This window comes from Homo sapiens, chromosome 4, assembly GCF_000001405.40.
Source record: "Homo sapiens chromosome 4, GRCh38.p14 Primary Assembly".
NCBI classification, from domain to species: Eukaryota; Metazoa; Chordata; class Mammalia; order Primates; family Hominidae; genus Homo; species Homo sapiens.
In genome coordinates, this window is record NC_000004.12 from 48,061,858 (window position 1) to 48,080,477 (window position 18,620).

General features: G+C 40.4%; 1 protein-coding gene across 7 annotated transcripts in view, besides 1 other annotated feature; it reads right to left on the minus strand.

The window, feature by feature from the left end:
• Window positions 2,564-2,613: an enhancer, noted in NCBI's record as "active region_21536". NCBI's record gives its function as "activates an Ori minimal core promoter by ATAC-STARR-seq in GM12878 lymphoblastoid cells {active_cell/tissue: GM12878}" and the evidence as "EXISTENCE:reporter gene assay evidence [ECO:0000049][PMID:35858748]".
• The window catches only part of TXK (TXK tyrosine kinase), a 67,858-nt gene continuing 53,773 nt past the window's right edge, over window positions 4,536-18,620 (minus strand). For 6 of the 7 annotated variants that reach the window (XM_017008581.3, NM_003328.3, XM_011513747.4 and 3 more), the window contains 5 exons: window positions 18,055-18,271; window positions 14,545-14,609; window positions 12,078-12,196; window positions 9,660-9,817; window positions 4,536-5,848 (listed from right to left, as the gene is read on the minus strand). In XM_017008581.3, coding sequence (XP_016864070.1) covers window positions 5,780-5,848; window positions 9,660-9,817; window positions 12,078-12,196; window positions 14,545-14,609; window positions 18,055-18,271 — 628 coding nt within the window. In that variant the 3' untranslated portion in view covers window positions 4,536-5,779. Of the gene's footprint in view, window positions 5,849-9,659; window positions 9,818-12,077; window positions 12,197-14,544; window positions 14,610-18,054; window positions 18,272-18,620 lie in introns of those variants that run through there. The other variant, XM_047416122.1, reaches the window with a different exon arrangement.

An 18,620-nucleotide genomic window follows, 5' to 3' on the forward strand; every position in this document is an offset into this window, starting at 1 on the left:
TACTGAATGGGTAAAAGCTGGAAGCATTCCCTTTGAAAACCGGCACAAGACAAGGATGCCCTCTCTCACCACTCCTATTCAATATAGTAGTATTGGAAGTCCTGGCCAGGGCAATCAGGAAAGAGAAAGAAATAAAGGATATTCGAATAGGAAGAGAGGAAGTCAAATTACCTCTGTTTGCAGATGACATGATTGCATATTTAGAAAACCCCATCATCCTAGCCCAAAAACTCCTTAAGCTGATAAGCAACTTTAGCAAAGTCTCAGAATACGAAATCAATGTGCAAAAATCACAAGCATTCCTACACACCAATAAAAGAGAGCCAAATCGTGAGCTAACTCCCATTCACAATTGCTATAAAGAGAATAAAATACCTAGGAATAGAAGTTACAAGGGATGTGAAGGACCCTTTCAAGGAGAACTACAAACCACTGCTCAAGGAAGTAAGAAAGGACACAAACAAATGGAAAAACATTCCACACTCATGGATAGGAAGAATCAATATCGTGAAAATGACCATACCACCCAAAGTAATTTATAGATTCAATGCTATTCCCATCAAGACACCATTTACTTCCTTCACAGAATTAGAAAAAACTAATTTAAATTTCACATGGAATCAAAAAAGCACCCATATAGCCAAGACAATTTAAAGCAAAAAGAACAAAGCTGGAGGCATCACACTACCTGACTTCAAACTATACTACAAGGCTACAGTATCCAAAACAGCATGGTACTGGTACCAAAACAGATATATAGACCAATGGAACACAATAGAGGCCTCAGAAATAACACCACACATCTACAACCATCTGACCTTTGACAAACCTGACAAAAACAAGCAATGGGGAAAGGATTCCCTATTTAATAAATGGTGCTGGGAAAACTGACTAGCCATATGCAGAAAACTGAAACTGGACCCCTTCCTTACACCTTATACAAAAATTAACTCAAGATGGATTAAAGATTTAAATGTAAGGTCTAAAACCATAAAAATCCTAGAAGAAAATCTAGACAGTATTATTCAGGACACAGGCATGAGCAAAGACTTCATAACTAAAACACCAAAAGCAATGACAACAAAAGCCAAAATTGACAAATGGTATCTAATTAAACTAAAGAGCTTCTGCACAGCAAAAGAAACTATCATCAGAGTGAACAGGCAACCTACAGAATGGGAGAATATTTTTGCCATCTATCCATGTGACGGCTAATATCCAGAATCTACAAGAAATGTAAATAAATTTATAAGAAAAAAACAACCCCATCAAAAAATAGGCCAAGGATATGAACAGACACTTTTCAAAAGAAGATATTTATTTGGCCAACAAACATATGAAAGAAAGCTCATCATCACTGGTCTTTAGAGAAATGCAAATCAAAACCACAATGAGATACCATCACACACCAGTTAGAATGGCAATCATTAAAAAGTCAGGAAACAACAGATGCTGGAGATGATGTGGAGAAATAGAAATGCTTTTACACTGTTGGTGGGAGTGTAAATTAGTTCAACCATTGTGGAAGACAGTGTGGTGATTCCTCAAGGATCTAGAATCAGAAATACCATTTGACCCAACAATCCCATTACTTGGGTATATACTGGGTATATACCCAAAGGATTATAAATCATTCTACTATAAAGACACATGCACATGTATGTTTATTGAACTTAGAGTATAATTTTAAAAAATAGTTAAAAATTGGAAACAACTCAAATATCCATTGAAATTAGAATAGATAAATATGTAAAATAGTTGTACAATTCAAGACAATGCAGAAATGGGAATAAATGAAATACAACTACATACAACATAGGTGGATCAAACAAACATATCATAAAATTCCATTTATAGAAGGTTTAAAAATAACCCATACAAATCCAAGGTGTTGGAACTCAGGATATTAATTACTCTTGGGTTAGTGACTTAAATAGGGAATGAGAATGGCTTCTGGAATTCTAGAATGTTTTCTTTCTTTCTTTTCTTTTCTTTTTCTTTTTCTTTTTCTTTTTCTTTTTTTGACAGAGTTTCACTCTGTTGCCCAGGCTGGAGTATAGTGGCACCATCTTGGCTCACTGCAACATCTGCCTCCCAGGCTCAAGCGATTCTCACTTGTGCACCTCAGCCTCCCAAGTAGCTGGGATTACACGAATGTACCACTGCACCTGGCTAATTTGTGGGTGTGTATGTGTGTTTAGTAGAGGTGGGGTTTCACCATGTTGGCCACACTGGTCTCGAACTCCTGGCCTCAAGTGATCCACCCACCTTGGCCTGCCAAAGTGCTGAGATTACAGGCATGAGCCACCACACCTGGCCAGAATGTATCATTTCTTGATCTGAGTCTGGTTACAGAGATGTATTCACTTTGCCAATATCAATGATGTTACATACTCATGATTTGTGTACTTTTCTTTATGTATGTGTGAGCAAAGAGTTAATAGCAGGTCTGTACCATTTTTCTCCCAGAACTATGCCTGCTTGGGAAATTTTAGGTTTGTCTTATCCCAGCACGAGTTTCTTGTAAATGACCCAAATTAAGATAAATTTGGAATATTGGGTACCAGGGACAGACATCCATTTTGTGCACTGTGAAACCTACAATCTATGGGACAGTACATGGGGCTGGGAGACCTGTGAACCGTAGGCCTATATGACTGGTGGGAAACCCACATAGAAGCTTCTTTGCATCAAGGCAAACCCCCACATACCACAACCTCATCCAAATACCACAAGCTCATGCACGCTCTTTAGGCAGGTGAGGAGGGACCCAAGCATCATGCATGCTTAATTTCCTGTCCTGTATCCTACTATAAAGCTAAGCAAATTTAGTGCTAGGCTAAATGCTATTGTATCTCATCAGTTTGCTTGCCAGTCCAAACATGTTCCCAATACCATGGTGGTACCATGTATTGCACTTCAATAAAAAGTTTACTAAATTCCTTTATCTATTCTTGCCAAAAGGTTATTTTCACTGATTATATATTCCGCTTGGCCTCCAAATTCCTTCCATTTTTCTGAGCCTCCTCGCTGTCTGTTGACCTCCTATATTCTCCTTTTTAGGACTCTACAATTGACCCCTAAACCTCCTATTCATTTTTTTATGCAGAGCTGTTTAAATATTGCACTATCTCACCTCAAATGACCCAGAGAACCCTCATATCAATAACTAATATTAAGATTGGTTGCAAAACATAGTTCCTTTCCAGGAGAACTTGTATAACTATCTCTTTTTTTTTTGACAGAGTCTCACTCTGTCACCCAGGATAGAGGGCAGTAGCACAGTCTCAGCTCACCGCAACTTCCACCTCCTGGGTTCAAGCAATTCTCCTGCCTCAGCCTCCCGAGTAGCTGGGATTACAGGCACGTGCCACCACGCCTGGCTAACTTTTCGTATTTTTAGTAGAGACAGGGTTTCACCATGTTGGCCAGGCTGATCTCTAACTCCTGACCTCAGATGATCCACCCGCCTCGGCCTCCCAAAGTGCTGGATTACAGGCATGAGCCATTGTGCCTGGCTGACTACCTCTTAAGGAAACTTTTTTGTTTAGTTAGACAAAGAATGGTAAATCTCTTTCCACGCACATTCAAAATTCACACATTATCTGGACTCTTAGTTACCTAGGACATACCCCCAGTTATTCTTGTACCTAATTTGGTACCTCAAATTTTCCCGAGGTGTTAAAACAAAAGGAATAGAGCTTGCCTAGCACCTTAGAAGTGCTGCACCCTCTTAGAAGTGCCAGGCACTGTCATAGTTGTTGCCCTCTTAGAATGATTTGCCTCTGGGTGTCACTCTTTGCTCTGTACCTGGTACAACTATAGTGATGGCAGATGCTCCATACTCAGTCCTAGCTTTTCAGTGTTTGGCTTTGCTGGGTTTTTTCTTTCTTTCTTTTTGAGAGAAATGGGGACTTCCAAGCTGAGTAAAACCTGGAAAGGGCAACTTACTGCAGCCATATATTGATACTACATTATTTCCTATGTCATAATATTAACCTCCCTTCCATCTGCTTTTGCTGTTTAGTAGTCTCATGTCTTCTTGAGCTAGACTATCTTATGTAAATTCATGTTATGTGAATTGAGGTCTCAGTAATAACAGCCTTCTGTCTTTCCTCACCGTAACAGGAGTCATAGGAAAGGGGGTGTGATAGTCTCAGAAACAGCCTAGCATCTCATACAAACTTGTTTCTGTTTTTGAGACAGGGTCTCGCTCTATCACCCAGGCTGGAGTGCAGTGGCACAATCATGGCTCACTGCAGCCTTGATCTCCTGGGCTCCTGTCTCAGCCTCCCAAGTAGCTGGGACTACGTGCATGCATGCACCACTACACCTAGCTTTTTTTTTCTTTTTTCTTTTTTCTTGTAATAGAGATAGGATCTCACTTTGTTGCCCAGGCTGGTCTCAAACTGGGCTCAAGTTATCTTCCCACCTTGGCCTCCCAAAGTGCTGGGATTATAGGCATGAGCCACCACATTCAGCCCAAACATTTCTGAGACCACTACTTGAACTATCAAGTCTCCTCTTGTAACTGATTCTCATTAGAAATAATACACATTTATTGAATGTCATTGATATATAAAGATACCATTCTTTGAGTGGGGGAAATATAATTTAAAAGTCGCAACTACTGACAATCAACAAATAAACTCTAATGAGAATCATAAAGCTTGTTCCCAGAGAACCATGATACAGGGTGGGACAGTACGCAAATAATGGGCTCCTGTTGTCAGACTTCATGGTGATTACATTAGTGCTTTCTCCAGTATCTTTCTTCCTATTGTACTCCTGAAGCACTCAGAATGATAAAGATAAATTTCTGATCATTCCTACAAAGAGTGCAGGCAAAGTTAAGATTTAACTGTGATTGCTGGTTGTTTCATCTCGAATTCAAAATCCTGGATTTCCGAAACAATGGAGCTTGATGTCACATTTGGCTATCTTGCTTTTGTCTCCTCTTCTGGAAAGAACAAATCATCTTCCTGAAAATTACAGGAGACACTTAGTATGACAAAATAAGGCCTCTGAAACTGTCCAATCTCACATGTAAAAAGTGTAAAATCACAGAACTAAAATCAGGTTCCGGATTTTCCTGGAAATAGAATGTCACCGGGATCTGTTCAAAGGTGAGCTTTGGCTACATTTTATAACAGTGTTTAAAACTCGAATGCAAAAAACTGCTTTCAATATAATCAGATATGTGCAAAAACAATTTGTTAAATAACATGGGAAGATTATATTAACAAAAGACATTTCCAGAATACTAACATTCATGTGATTTATAAAGGTGCATTTTCTGTAAAGAGCTATACAGCCCAAAAACATGAAATTCTTCAAGGGAGTCCCCTTTATCCCATGAGTTGGAAGAATTTATTTTCATATTCTATGCATGGATCACTGAAGTGATGAATGTCACTCGTCTTCAAGAAGGAAGCACTCTCAGCCTTGTGAAGAAGAACCTCAAGGGTTCCTGGGGCTATGATCATGAAGAGCACCACAATGAAGACTGCTGCGAAGTCTTTTTCACTTCTTCACATTTGGGATGTGAAATATTTTACAGAAAAATAAGAGTGTGCAAATCCCTCTCACACATAGAAAAACGATTGTGTGAATATTCTTAAATTTTTAAAACTTTTAAAAACTGTGATCTTTGCACTGTTTTCAAGAGTCAGCAACTCTGAAGAAAGATATTCACCATAAGTGACCCCATATGGTGAAGATATTCACAATAAATGACAGTTTTGCAAGATGACTCTTTGGGTTGGCATTCTGTTTCCGGTCACCAGGTTTCCGCAATCTCTGTGACAGCCCGCAGCAGCTCGGCAAATGTAGGGCGGCCTTCAGGTTTCTGGAAAAGGGAAGTGGGGGTGGTTAGCTCAGCTTAACCAACTTATGCCAAGGGTTCCATTTTTGGAACGCTAAGCATGTGGGAGTCACTTATATCCCACTGCTCGAGGTCATCGCCAAGGTCTGATTTTTCACTCATGCAAAAATTCAAAAAATTGCCACCTGCGGCATAAATAGGCTAAGGATCACTCAGAGACCAGCTCTGGAACTTGCTGGCAGAGACCTGAATCCAGGCTGGCTCTTCACAAAAAGGAAGAGAAAGATATCTTGACTGACTGACATAGCACAGCATGATTGGCAGTTGAGTGAGGCGTGAATATGAAAATGTTAGAGAATGTTGCAAAAATAAAACGGCTAGACCTGCAAACACTAGCCACATGTGGCTATTTAAATTTAAATTCCTTAAGATTATATAAATGTTTAAATTCAGTTACTCAGTCGTGCTAGCCACTTTTCAAGAACCCAATAGCCAGAAGTGGCTGCCATATTGGGCAGCACAGATATAGAACGTTTCAGCATCTCAGAAAGTACTCTAGGACACCACGACCCTAGAGATATATTTGAATGACTTGACATGTGTGAGGTAAAGAAAGGGCTGGGAGAAGGGGCATCTAGCATACCAGGCTCCCAAGCTCAGTTCAGGGTATCTATGACACCTGAGCCATTATAGAAAGGAGGATTTCAGTCAGAAAGCAAAAGGCATGTTTTCATGAGGGACTTTGAAGGTCTTGGGGCACAGGTTGTGCTTTCAGTCTCAGTCAACAGAAAAATAAGAGTGTGGAAGTCCCTCTCACACATAGAAAAATGATTGCTGAATATTCTTACATTTTAAAAAGTTTTAAAAGCCTGTGATCTTTGCACAGTTTTTGAGTCAGCAACTCTAAAGGAAGATATTCACCATAAGTGACCCCATATCCCTGGTCATGGAGCCAAGGATTGGAGCATTTTTTCCTACTTCACTTAGGGGTGTGGTTTAGCTCTGATTCCAAGAGGAAGAAGAGATGGCACTGTCAGCATCTTTTAAAACCATGGGAAACAGAGCTACTCATAGTAGCCACATTCTCACAGGGGTCATTGACAGTAGGGTCAGCGGAAAGACACCCCTCTTCATGGCTTATAAACAGAGAGCATCAGTAAAATAAACAGAGCAGAAGACAGCACAAGTGCAAGTGAGGGTCCTTATTGAGACTCTGGGCATAAATTGTGGAGCTCTGTGAGGAGCCTGTTTCTGCGCATGAATCCTGAAATTTGTCTCTCAAAGATAGCATAATCACGTTTGACTCTAATGCCCTAAGCACATGGGGTAAAGCTGTAGGCAATATCAACTTTTGCACCTGACATAATGACTCACATCTGTAATCCCAGCACTTTGGGAGGCCAAGGTAGGAGGACTGCTTGAGGCCTGGGCAACAAAGTGAGACCCCATCTCTAGAAAAAATTTTAAAAAATTAGCTGGTCATGGTGGCACATCACTGTAGTCCCAGCTATTCAGGAGGCTGAGCTGGGCGGATTGCGTAAGCCCAGGAGGTCAAGGCTGCAGTGAGATGTGATTGTGCCACTGCACTGTAGTCTGGGAAACAGAGCAAGACTCTGTCTCAAAAATAAATCAATCTTTTCTTTTCTTTTTTTTTTTTTTTTTTTGAGACAGTCTGGCCCAGTCACCCAGGCTGGAGTGCAATGGTGGGATCTTGGCTCACTGCAACCTCTGCCTCCCAGGTTCAAACAATTCTCCTGCCTCAGCCTCCTGAGTAGCTGGGATTACAGGTGCCCGCCACCATGCCCAGCTAATTTTTTTGTATTTTTAGTAGAGACGGGGTTTCACCATGTTAGCCAGGCTGGTCTCGAACTCCCAGCCTCGTGATTCGCCCACCTCAGCCTCCCAAAGTGCTGGGATTACAAGCATGAGCCACCACACCCGGCCAAATCAACTTTTTCAAACAAATAAATCGACATAACCACACCATTGTATTAATCAATGTTCTGATTGCAATTTGAGACAAATGTTGTTTACATGGTCCTTCTGACAGCATCCTACTTATCACTTCCCTTCCTCCTTCTATGTCTCAGTTCCACTTACATATAACATCTCAATAAGCATTATATTACACACACACGTGTGTATTATTTCATACACAACATATACTTCTGAGCTACTTACATTGTTATTGCAAAGATGCTCCTAAAACGGCTGCTTATTACTACTCACTGAACATTTTTCTGAACATTTTTTTCTTACAGCTTGCTGAGCATTTTTCTATGTCTTTCAAGATTCCTTGTAAAGTAGTTAATATATGTAAAATATTTTCATACATTGGGGCTCTCTATAAATGTAATGCTTTTGGAATATGAATAACCACATCACTCTTAAAATATTCAATATTCTAGTGTTTGTGGATTGATAATCAAGTGCTTTATTTTTTCAGCCAGGAGGAAACTTCTCATCAAGCTGCAATTTCCAGCTGAAACTGTCAGCTGGAAAGAGACCAAAGCTCTCAAAATCAAAGGGAATTTCACTGAGAAGGGCAGGGGTGTGTTGAGTCAGTGCCCAGAGGTGGAAAAGAAGCCCCTCTGGCTTTATTTCTAAGCTTGGCATTTCAACAAATAGAAAAACTAAGTTCTGGAGAGATTTCTTCCTGAGTGGAAGTTCCTGACACACTTTCTGCCTCCATTCCTATTCTAGTTTAATCTGTAGCAGGAGTCCTGACTGCCAGAAGACAGATGAAACCCATTACTATTAGCGTTGGAAAAGCAAGACAAAGCAAAGTTGAGTGAAGTAAATGGAAACACCATCTTTCTTTTTCAACCTGGAAATTTAACAAGCCTGGTTCTACCCTTAGTTTCCACCATTAATTCTTTTATTTATTTGCTTATTTATTTATTTATTTATTTTTTGAGACAGAGTCTTGTTCTGTTGTCCAGGCTGGAGTGTAGTGGCGCAATCTCAGCTCACTGTAGCCTTTGCCTCCTGGGTTCGAGCAATTCTCCTATCTCCGCCTCCCAAGTAGCTGGAATTACAGGCATGCACCACCAGGCCTGGCTAATTTTTGTATTTTTAGTAGAGACAGGGTTTCACCATGTTGGCCAGGCTGGTCTCAAACTCCTGACCTCAAGTGATCTGGCCACCTCGGCCTCCCAAAGTGCTGGGGTTACAGGCGTGAGCCACCACACACAGCCTCCATCATTTAATTCTTTTTTTTTTTTTTTTTTTTTTTGAGATGGAGTCTCACTCTGTCGCCCAGGCTGGAGTGCAGTGGCGCCATCTCGGCTCACTGCAAGCTCCGCCTCCCAGGTTCAAGATTCTTCTCCTGCTTCAGCATCCCCAGTAGCTGGGATTACAGGCATGCACCACCACGCCCGGCTAATTTTTGTATTTTTAGTAGAGATGGGGTTTTACCACGTTGGCTGGGCTGGTCTCAAACTCCTGACCTCAGGTGATCCACCCGCCTCGGCCTCCCAAAGTGCTGAGATTACAGGCATGAGTCACTGCGCCCGGCCCATTAATTCTTAAAGCTAATAAAACATCTAATCACTGAGGCTTGAGTAACACCAAGAGTTTCTGCAAGAACCAATCTCAAACAGATAAGACTCAGAAAATGCACTGAATTCCTCAGATAAAAGGCCATTGTTCAAAACAAAATGGATTCATGACTTTGTAGTGAGTTTGAGATAGTACTTCAGACTCTCAGGATCATGACCAAGACACAGATGCCTTTTCCTGCCATGACAGAGTTCTGAAGTAATGTTTGTGATAATCAGGTCTGCTCTCAGATGCTGGGACTGCCAACCTTCATAGGAAAGTAACATATGCTTACCTCATGCCAGCAGCTGTACATGACTTCATATATGGACATTGGTGCCAGGTGAGGGCGATATAGCCTGAAGCCTTCAGAAATAGCTTCCACGACTTGCAAATTTGACTTATTTTCAAAAGGCATTTTTCCTTCTGTAAAAACTTCCCACATTAAAACTCCTGCAAACAAAAATGCAGGAAAACAAGGGGTTAGAGAGAAATGATTGCTTGGGAACTGAAAGAACAATTTCAAACTACAAGGCATTATTTTTGTGCTCCAGGCTTTGGGCTATAACCATCCTGAATAACAGCGGTTCTGTCAAGGAAGCAAATCATGTTCACTTTAGTTTTCAAAGAGGCCTGTAACCTGAAAATAATCTAAGTGAAAACAATGCCTTTCCTTGTCCATGGGTCTTGATTGCCTCTCCTATCAGGAGAAAATGCCAGTAGCATTTTCTTTTCTTTTTTTTTTTTTTTGAGACAGGGTCTCGCTCTGTCGCCCGGGCTGGAGTGCAGTGGCATGATCTCAGCTCACTGCAACCTCTGTCTACCGGGCTGGAGTGCAGTGGCATGATCTCAGCTCACTGCAACCTCTGTCTCCCGGGTTCAAGCAATTCTTCTGCTTCAGCCTCCTGAGTTGCTGGGATTATAGGTGCCCACCACCACGCCCAACTAATTTTTCTATTTTTAGTAGAGGCGGGGTTTCACCATGTTGGCCAGGCTGGTCTCGAGCTCTGACCTCAGGTGATTCGACCACCTCAGCCTCCCAAAGTGCTGGAATTACAAACGTAAGCCATCACGCCCGGCCTAGCATTTTCATTTCTAAGCAGCAGTCACGTTCCTGCATCCTGAAATCAATGAACCTTTCTGCCATTCCATAGAAACTGACAGGATTATGTGAGCCTCTGCTGCCTACTTAGCCAAGAGTTTCAGCCAGTAAATGGCATGTGTCCCCTTCTTTCTGCTAAAAGATTAGACTGATGGGCAGAGCCCCAGAATATCTAGCAGGGGCTCTGTACATAAGTAGATGTCCAATAATCATTGATTGATTGATTAGTGAAACTCCTGCAAGAACTCCTAATTTGAGTTCATTTAATTATTCACTTATTCTACAAATATTTACTAGACATTGATGAGAGGCGAGGCCTCTGCTGGGGCCTGGAGATTTTATAAGTGTGAGATCAATCCATGTGCCTAAGGAGCTCACTGTTCAGTGAGGGAGACAAGTAGGTAAAATTCAGGGAGTTCTAATTGTTTGGCAACCTTCGATGAGGTCGTTATATTGCTCTTCATTGGTCTCTAAGATGTGGTCTCACAACCTAATTGCTCTTCAGTAGAGCTTCAAGTGTCACCTGCTGAGACTATCATATGTCCATGGAGAGCTAATGAGATTAATGACACAAGCTTAACTTTATTGTATGTTTTTAAATTTATGTTTTAATTTTTTTGAGGCAGGGTCTTGCTCTGTCATCCAGGCTGGAGTACAGTGGCACGATCCTAGCTTACTATAACCTCAAACTCCTGGGCTCAAGCAATCCTCCTGCCTCAGCCTCCCGAGGAACTGGGACTACAGGTATATGCCACCACACCTGGCTAATTTTTTTTTTTTTTTTGTAAAGACAGAGTCTTGCTAGGTTGCCCAGGCTAGTCTTGAACTCCTGGTCTCAAACAATCCTCCCACTTCAGCCTCCCAAAGTGCTGGAATTGTAGGCCTGAGCCACTGTGCCCAGTTTTAACCTTATTGTAGACAATAAAACTGACACCCTTCTGAGGACCCAGAACCCACAAGCCTCCAGGAAGTTTGGGGTGAAAGAGGATAGATAGATTTTTGCATATTTATTACCATTTTTTGAAAATCAACCCCGAAACTTCATTGGACGTGGGTCTATGGTGTCTCTTTCTCAATGAAGAACATTATCCAATATGAATATCAATTTATAGATCCCAAGGAAGCCTATGTCTAAATTCCACAAACTTTAAAGTTAAGGAAGTAAATGAGATGCCACCATTTTTTAAACTCAGGTTTTAAGTTCAGGTTAACAACTGAACAACTGGAAAATAGTCAACCTGCTTCACAGTTTAGACAATTAAGTTTATTAATTACACTCTAAACAATGTCATAAGATCATTTTTCCTTCAAGCCTCTGCGGAGTGGAAAACTTATCTGAGTTTGTTTTCTAGATCAGTAGACTCTTTGTTATGGTTTTATAGTGAGTGCCCATGGAGGAAGGAAAAGATCCAAAAGGCAGACTTATGTAAGAAGGTATGTGACACCAGTTGCCAAAGACAGTCGGGATGTGGTTAGAACACACAGAAGGAAGCACAATTACAAGAAGACTTTTTAAAAAATGCTATATCAATTAGGAAATCAAAGTTAAAAATAACACATTGCCCATTTTATTAAATCAAGCTCCAGCAAGTGAACATCAGATGCACTCACCAAATGACCAGACATCAGATTTACTGCTGTACTTATTGAAAAGAAAAACTTCAGGAGGGGACCACTTGATTGGGAACTTGGCTCCAAAAGAACTGACATACTCATCATCCAAAACGTACCTAAGTTTATCAGATTCAAAGCATATTGTGTTAATTACCTCCAAGCTCTATTTACTTCAAATCCCTTTAGTTAACTCTAAGTTGCTAAAAGACAAAGTATTTTACCCCAGAAAGGTTGTGGATGCCTTCTTGTTAGTAGAGTGTGAAAGTGTCCCTGATAATGTTTCCTCCCCAAACAAAGTCTCAATTGTATTTGTTTTACGTGGACCTCTGAAAATCATAATGCTGCTTCAGTTCAAAACATGGCTCACTGTTTATGTTAATTATGGTAAATTCTTAACTCTACAAAGAAGCCTGCTAAAGGCTCTAACAACCAAGATTATAAAAAGGAAATAAAAGACCACTCTTCCCAGGGGTGGGGAAAACAAAGACCACTCTTCTTAAAATGGAAATGAATGATTCAAAGTTGGATGTCGAATTTTCTTCCATGTGCATGTTTTTTTGTGGGGCATACAGAAGGGGGGAAAGTAAAAGTATATGAACATAATGCTTCTGATATGACAAATCTCTAATGCACTAGAATGGCCCTATATGGAAAGAAACCAAGAATAACTACCGTCTCCTTAAAAAAATAACAAGTTGAACCCTCTCTCTTTTTTGAGAATTGTACACCGGGATGTCCAAATGTCAGACACTGAGGAGAAGAGACAAAAATAAACTTGTGCTTGTTGCCCCTTAAATATACAATATAGTGTTTTCACAGCATTTATTAATGCTGCCCCTATACTCTCACTTTTTTTTTAAATACACTACCTCCCTCCACCTGTCAGCACTTTATTGAGTCAGAGGTCATTCTACTTAGGTAAAGAATGACTAACAGAAAACAAAGAGAGAAAAGCCACTGTTTATAGATTTTGAATTTTTCAAGTCTAGGCTCTTCAGAGAAGAAAGATTGAGTTATTAACAAAATATCTTGGAAAATGGGCCATGAACAGGAGTGAGATCTCACTACCACCACCCCTATTACCACCACTATCTAGAAAAAGATCCCCTGAGCTTTGGGGGGATCTTTTTCCCCCAAAAAGAGGAATGGGGGAAATAGAAGGGAAAGAAAAGGGGGGTACTAGACATTAGTAGATCAGTGGGTTAGGGTCCTGTATCTTGTACCCTAAAGGGCTGCCCAAGTACTTTAGGAAAGAAGCTCCTACTCCCACATTAGGTTGGTGGGATTTAAAAGTGACACAGAACCAGTGCTCTTTTCCCCAGGTGGAGCCCTTGGAAAGGCAGAAAGATGCCAGTGAACAAATGGCTGTGGATGTGCCTAGGTAAATGAGATCTGAGATCACACCATGGAGTTTTGTAATCATAAAGAACGCCGGCCAGGTGAGACTGCTCACACCTGTAATCACAGCACTTTTGGAGGTGAGGTGGGTGGATATTTGATGTCAGGAGTTCAAGACCAGCCTGGCCAACATGGTGAAACCCCGCCTCTACCAAAAATAAAAAATTAGCTGGGCGTGGTGGCATGTGCCTGTAGTTCCAGCTACTCGGGGGGCTGAGGCAGGAGGATAGCTTGAGCCTGGGAGGTCGAGGCTGCAGTGAGCCGAGAGAGCACCACTGCACTCCAGCCTGGGTGACAGAGTAAGACTCTGTCGAAAAAAAAAATTGCCAGTTCTGAATGAATCTTGCAGAAAAAATTCAGTACGTGTTAGCAGCTACCTGTTTGAATGGCCAGCCAAAGACAAGACCGGAGGATGGTGGCTGCAATGATGCCATGCACACAGATAACAAAAGGACCAGTAAGCCACCTCACTACCAGTACTATAGCCCCACGAGACACAAGAACTTGGACTTTGAAGCTTAGGGAAGCTAGAGAGAAACCCCAAATTCCCTGTGATTATATTTCTAGCACCACCCCAAAAAAGGATGCTCAAAATTTAAACTATATTGAGTTGTAGAAAAATATGGTTAAATTTTTCACACTCTTGAATTTTAGACTTAAAGTCAACTACTATACTTAATAATAGAAATGTTTGGTGAGGACACAGAAAAATCAGAGCTGAGCAAACAAATTTATTTCTTTTTCTTCCATAAACATATGTATATCAGGAATGCTTTTTTCTTCACGTTTCTCAGTGTATCAAGAAATTCCTTTTTTAATTTTAAGATATACCATAGTTTTGCTAAAAGATGAGAAGAATAGCCCACAGTAAACATTTACCTCACAGCTAAAATTGGTACATGTCCCAAAATTCAAAGTGGGTCAGTAGGCCATACAACCAGGCCTACAACCTAGGAAGATAAAAACACAGCCTGCAGCATCTTCAGTTTATCAGTAAACAAATGTAAGATTCCCTCTTATGAGTAAACAAACAAACAAAATACATATATATATACATAGCATGTACCTTGTCATTCCAAAGTCTGAAATTTTTACTATGCATGTTGAACTGACCAAACAATTCCTTGCCGCCTATGGAAAGAAGAAAAGAATCCAAGTTTGAATACAAGCTTTTATTTCAAGAGTTTTTCCTCTCCTTTTCCTTAGGTTATTTGGACCCCACACTACCTCTCTGTGTGTACCGCCAAGTCATTTTTATGGTGATATCCATCAATGGTATAGATTCAATAGTTTGCCTTCACTTTTTTTTTTGAGACAGGATCTGGCTCTGTTGCCCAGGCTGGAGTGCAATGGCACCATGTTGGCTCACTGCAACCTTCCCCTCCTGGGGTCAAACCATCCTCCCACCTTAGCCTCTTAAGTAGCTGGTACTACAGGCACACATCACCACACCCAGCTAATTTTTCTATTTTTAATAGAGATGGGGTTTTGCCATGCTGCCCACGCTGGTCTTGAACTCCTGGCCTCAAATGACCCACCCACCTTGGCTTCCCAAAGTGCTGGGATTACAGGCATAAGCCACCATGCCCAGGCTGCCCTCAGGATTAATTCAATCTGAAAGATGATACAACTATGAATCTTGGCATAAAAATAGTGTATTTTTTTTAACATCTTTATAGGAAAGCCCAAAATACATAACAGATAAGGCATAGTCATTTTATATCTTTGGGATCTCTAATACGTAATAAAAATTAAGAAAATATATTTTAAAACATATCTCACTAAAGATAACTATTTACAGTGATAATTTCATATTAAAATTATCACAATGAACTGAATATAATGCTATGTAGAAACAATATGTCTGATGCCAAAGCAATTCATTTTCAGCAACTTAATCAAGAAAATCATTGATTTGATTATTTAGCCTCATGTAGGTAGATAAACTATTTGATAGAATTTTCCTCTTTTCAGCTAATTTGTGGTTCAATTAGTCAAGCAACAAAAGCAAGAAACTTGAAATAATAAATCACAAGTAACCAGTTTAGAAGATGCCAGCAAGTCCTAGCAATGACCAAACCACAAGAAAAGTTTTTGACAGGGAAAAGACTCATTGTTCACGGACATATTTTAAGTAGCATATAGGGAGATAAAATAGAACACAAAAGAAAATGAGCAAACAAGAAAAAAAAAACAGGAATAGGAGGACCTGTGAGAAGCCATTTAGAGCAAATAAAATGACCGGAACTTTCACCCAATTGTTATCCGGAAAGACAAACCTGCAGAGACTAGGAAAGTGAGCTAGGTGGAGTTTACACCATATTCATCCACTCAAAAATCTGCTCATTTCTCCTAGGTGCTGGATACGAGGGAATGTGACTTTAGGGATTTTTTTTTTAATGATCTATCTCTGTAATAGCAATAGTTAGCACTGCTGAGCTCCTCTACATGCTAGACACTGTTTATTAATTCATGTAATTCTCCCAACAAACCCATATGAGGAAGGTGCTATAATTAATACCATTTTACTGGTTAACTAGCTTGCCCAAGGTCTCACAGCTAGTAAAAAACGGAGACAATATTTCAACCCAGCTAGCCTGGCTCTAGAGCAGTTATTCTCAACCTCAACTTCACATGAGGCTCATCAGGGGAATTTTCAAAAAATATTGATGCCTGGGTTTCAGCCACAGAGATTCTGATTTAATTGGTCTGGGGTACGGCCTGGCTATTGCGATTTTTCTAAAAGCTTCCAAGTAATTGTAATGCGCACCAAAGTCTGAAGTTTGAGAATGACTGTTTGCAACCTGTGTTCTTAATCACTGCGTGGCATCTCAGATATCTAGGCCTTGATCTCAAAGACTCTAAGTCTCATAAGATAGACTCTAGTATTTGTGTAAATGACGTAAATAATTAACTATTGGGTGAAGCAGTAAATAGCAAATGACCTGAGTGTTCCAAGCCATGGGTGGGATAAGCATACTTCCCAAGGTGTGCTGGGGCCAATGTAATTATGCTCCCTTTTTCTCCCCAAAATACTGCAGCCTGAACAGTGAGTAATATGATCACTTTGATCATGTGTGATGGAAGCACAGAATTACTTCCAAGGGGCGATATCAGGGATTTCTCATAGACTTCTCCAATTCTCATTTGAGTTAATTTTTAGATTTAGAAATGAGACATGGAAGAACATAAGGACATCAAGGGAATAGTGTGAATATCACGAATAAATGTGGAATGAACAGAAAGTGTTACTCAAGGGGAGGTAGCAATGCAGGGAAGCAGTGCTCTTAGCATATGGTTTGGGGCAAGACAATCATTTATTTAAATAGGAATGTTCTGAGCATTACAGAAAAAAATAATTTAGCATTCCTAGTCTCTTCAATAATGCCAGTAGTGCTCTTGAAATCCTGTTAGGACCAAACAACCTCCACATCAGGAGCAGTTATGCCCCTAGGTGACATTCTTTATATAAAGTGGAGACTAAAACTGGAACTTGTTCTTCACTGTTGTATCTCCAGTGCTTAGCAGAATGCTTGGCATATACTAGGCACTTGATACATGTTTGATTATGGGTTGAAAGAGAGAAAGGTGGAAGGAAAGAAAGAAGAAGGAAGAGAAGGAAGAAGGGAGAATGGAAAGGAAAGGAAATCAGTTTTAGTCACATGATAGGTTAGGTGGTTAATTAGTTCAAGGCATATTTAGAGTAAAGCCTTACTTGGCTATGAAATCTCCTTTGCAAAATTATGACTGAGAACCTAACTGACTCCATCTTGCTTCTAACCTCCAAGCTGTCCTTGTTCATTCCTGGGCGTAGGCTAAACTAACTTTGGGAGGAATTTATAGTTTATAGTTTAAAACGAAGATGATAACAGCCCTTTCCCAAAACAAACCTCCCTCTTGCCTGGGGACTAGACTTCCTTTGTAGGACAGACAAATTAGCCACAAGATTAGAAATTATGGTTTAGGAGTCAGACAGCTGGAGGCTACAAGATTCTGATTCTCCTTAAACTGCTCCTAAGATCAGTGCTTGAGATATTTTGCAGACCCTGCACTTGATGGATCAGCTGGCACCACCCAGATCGATTAACTGGCTCACCTGATCTTCTGGCCCCCACCCAGGAACTGACTCAGCATGAGGACAGCTTCAACTTCCAATGGTTTCATCTCCTACCTAACCAATCAGCTCTCCTGGTTTACTGGCTTCCCCCCACCCACCAAGTTGTCCTTAAAAACTCTGGTCCCCATATGCTCGGGGAGACTGATATGAGTAATAATAAAACTCCAGTCTCCTGCACAGCCGGTTCTGTGTGAATTACTCTTTCTCTATCACAATTCCTCTGTCCTGATAAATCGGCTCTGTCTAGGCAGCAGGCAAGGTGAACCCATTCGGCCTTTACAGCTACAGCATCAATGGACAATTGAAAACAAAGTTACATTTTACAACAAATTGCATGAATAGGTAAATGTTTAAAAATTAAATCAAGGACACATTATTCAAAGTATTGAAAGTAATTGTCACATCCTTCTGAATATAGGTATGATACAAAAAAAAAAAGTAAATTTGCACCATACTTACCAAATCCCTATGAATATAGCCATTCCTCTCCAGATATTCCATTCCTTCACATATATCCTGGCATACACTCAGTAGCATTTCCTTCCTAAGCTTTCCTTTATTCTCCCTGAGATAGTTAAGCAGGCAGCCATTTTCCATGAACTCTGTCACAATGTAAAGGGGCTTCCGCTGTATACAGACTCCATAAAGTTGCACTAGCTTTGAATGAGATAATTTCCTGGTGAAGAAAAACATACACCAGTGAGCAGAATTGTGTTTGCATTTTTAAATGTTTGAACATAACTGGTAGTATTTACCATCTATTTATCACTCTCATTATCAAGATAAGATAAAAATCAACCCAAACACAGAGGAAGTAGTTCAGTTTCCTTGCCACTTAATGCACTGAGAATGTGGGGTCAAGAGTTTAAGTGGTAATGCCAGAGGCAGAGTGGAGACAGAATATACACTATATTCTACGCGTAAGCATTTTATGTTTCTCCTCTTCATTTTATAATCCTTTTGTTTCTTCATCACTGTTTATCCTTGCTAGGTCAAGCAGATTTCCTTTCCTGTTCCTTGAATTC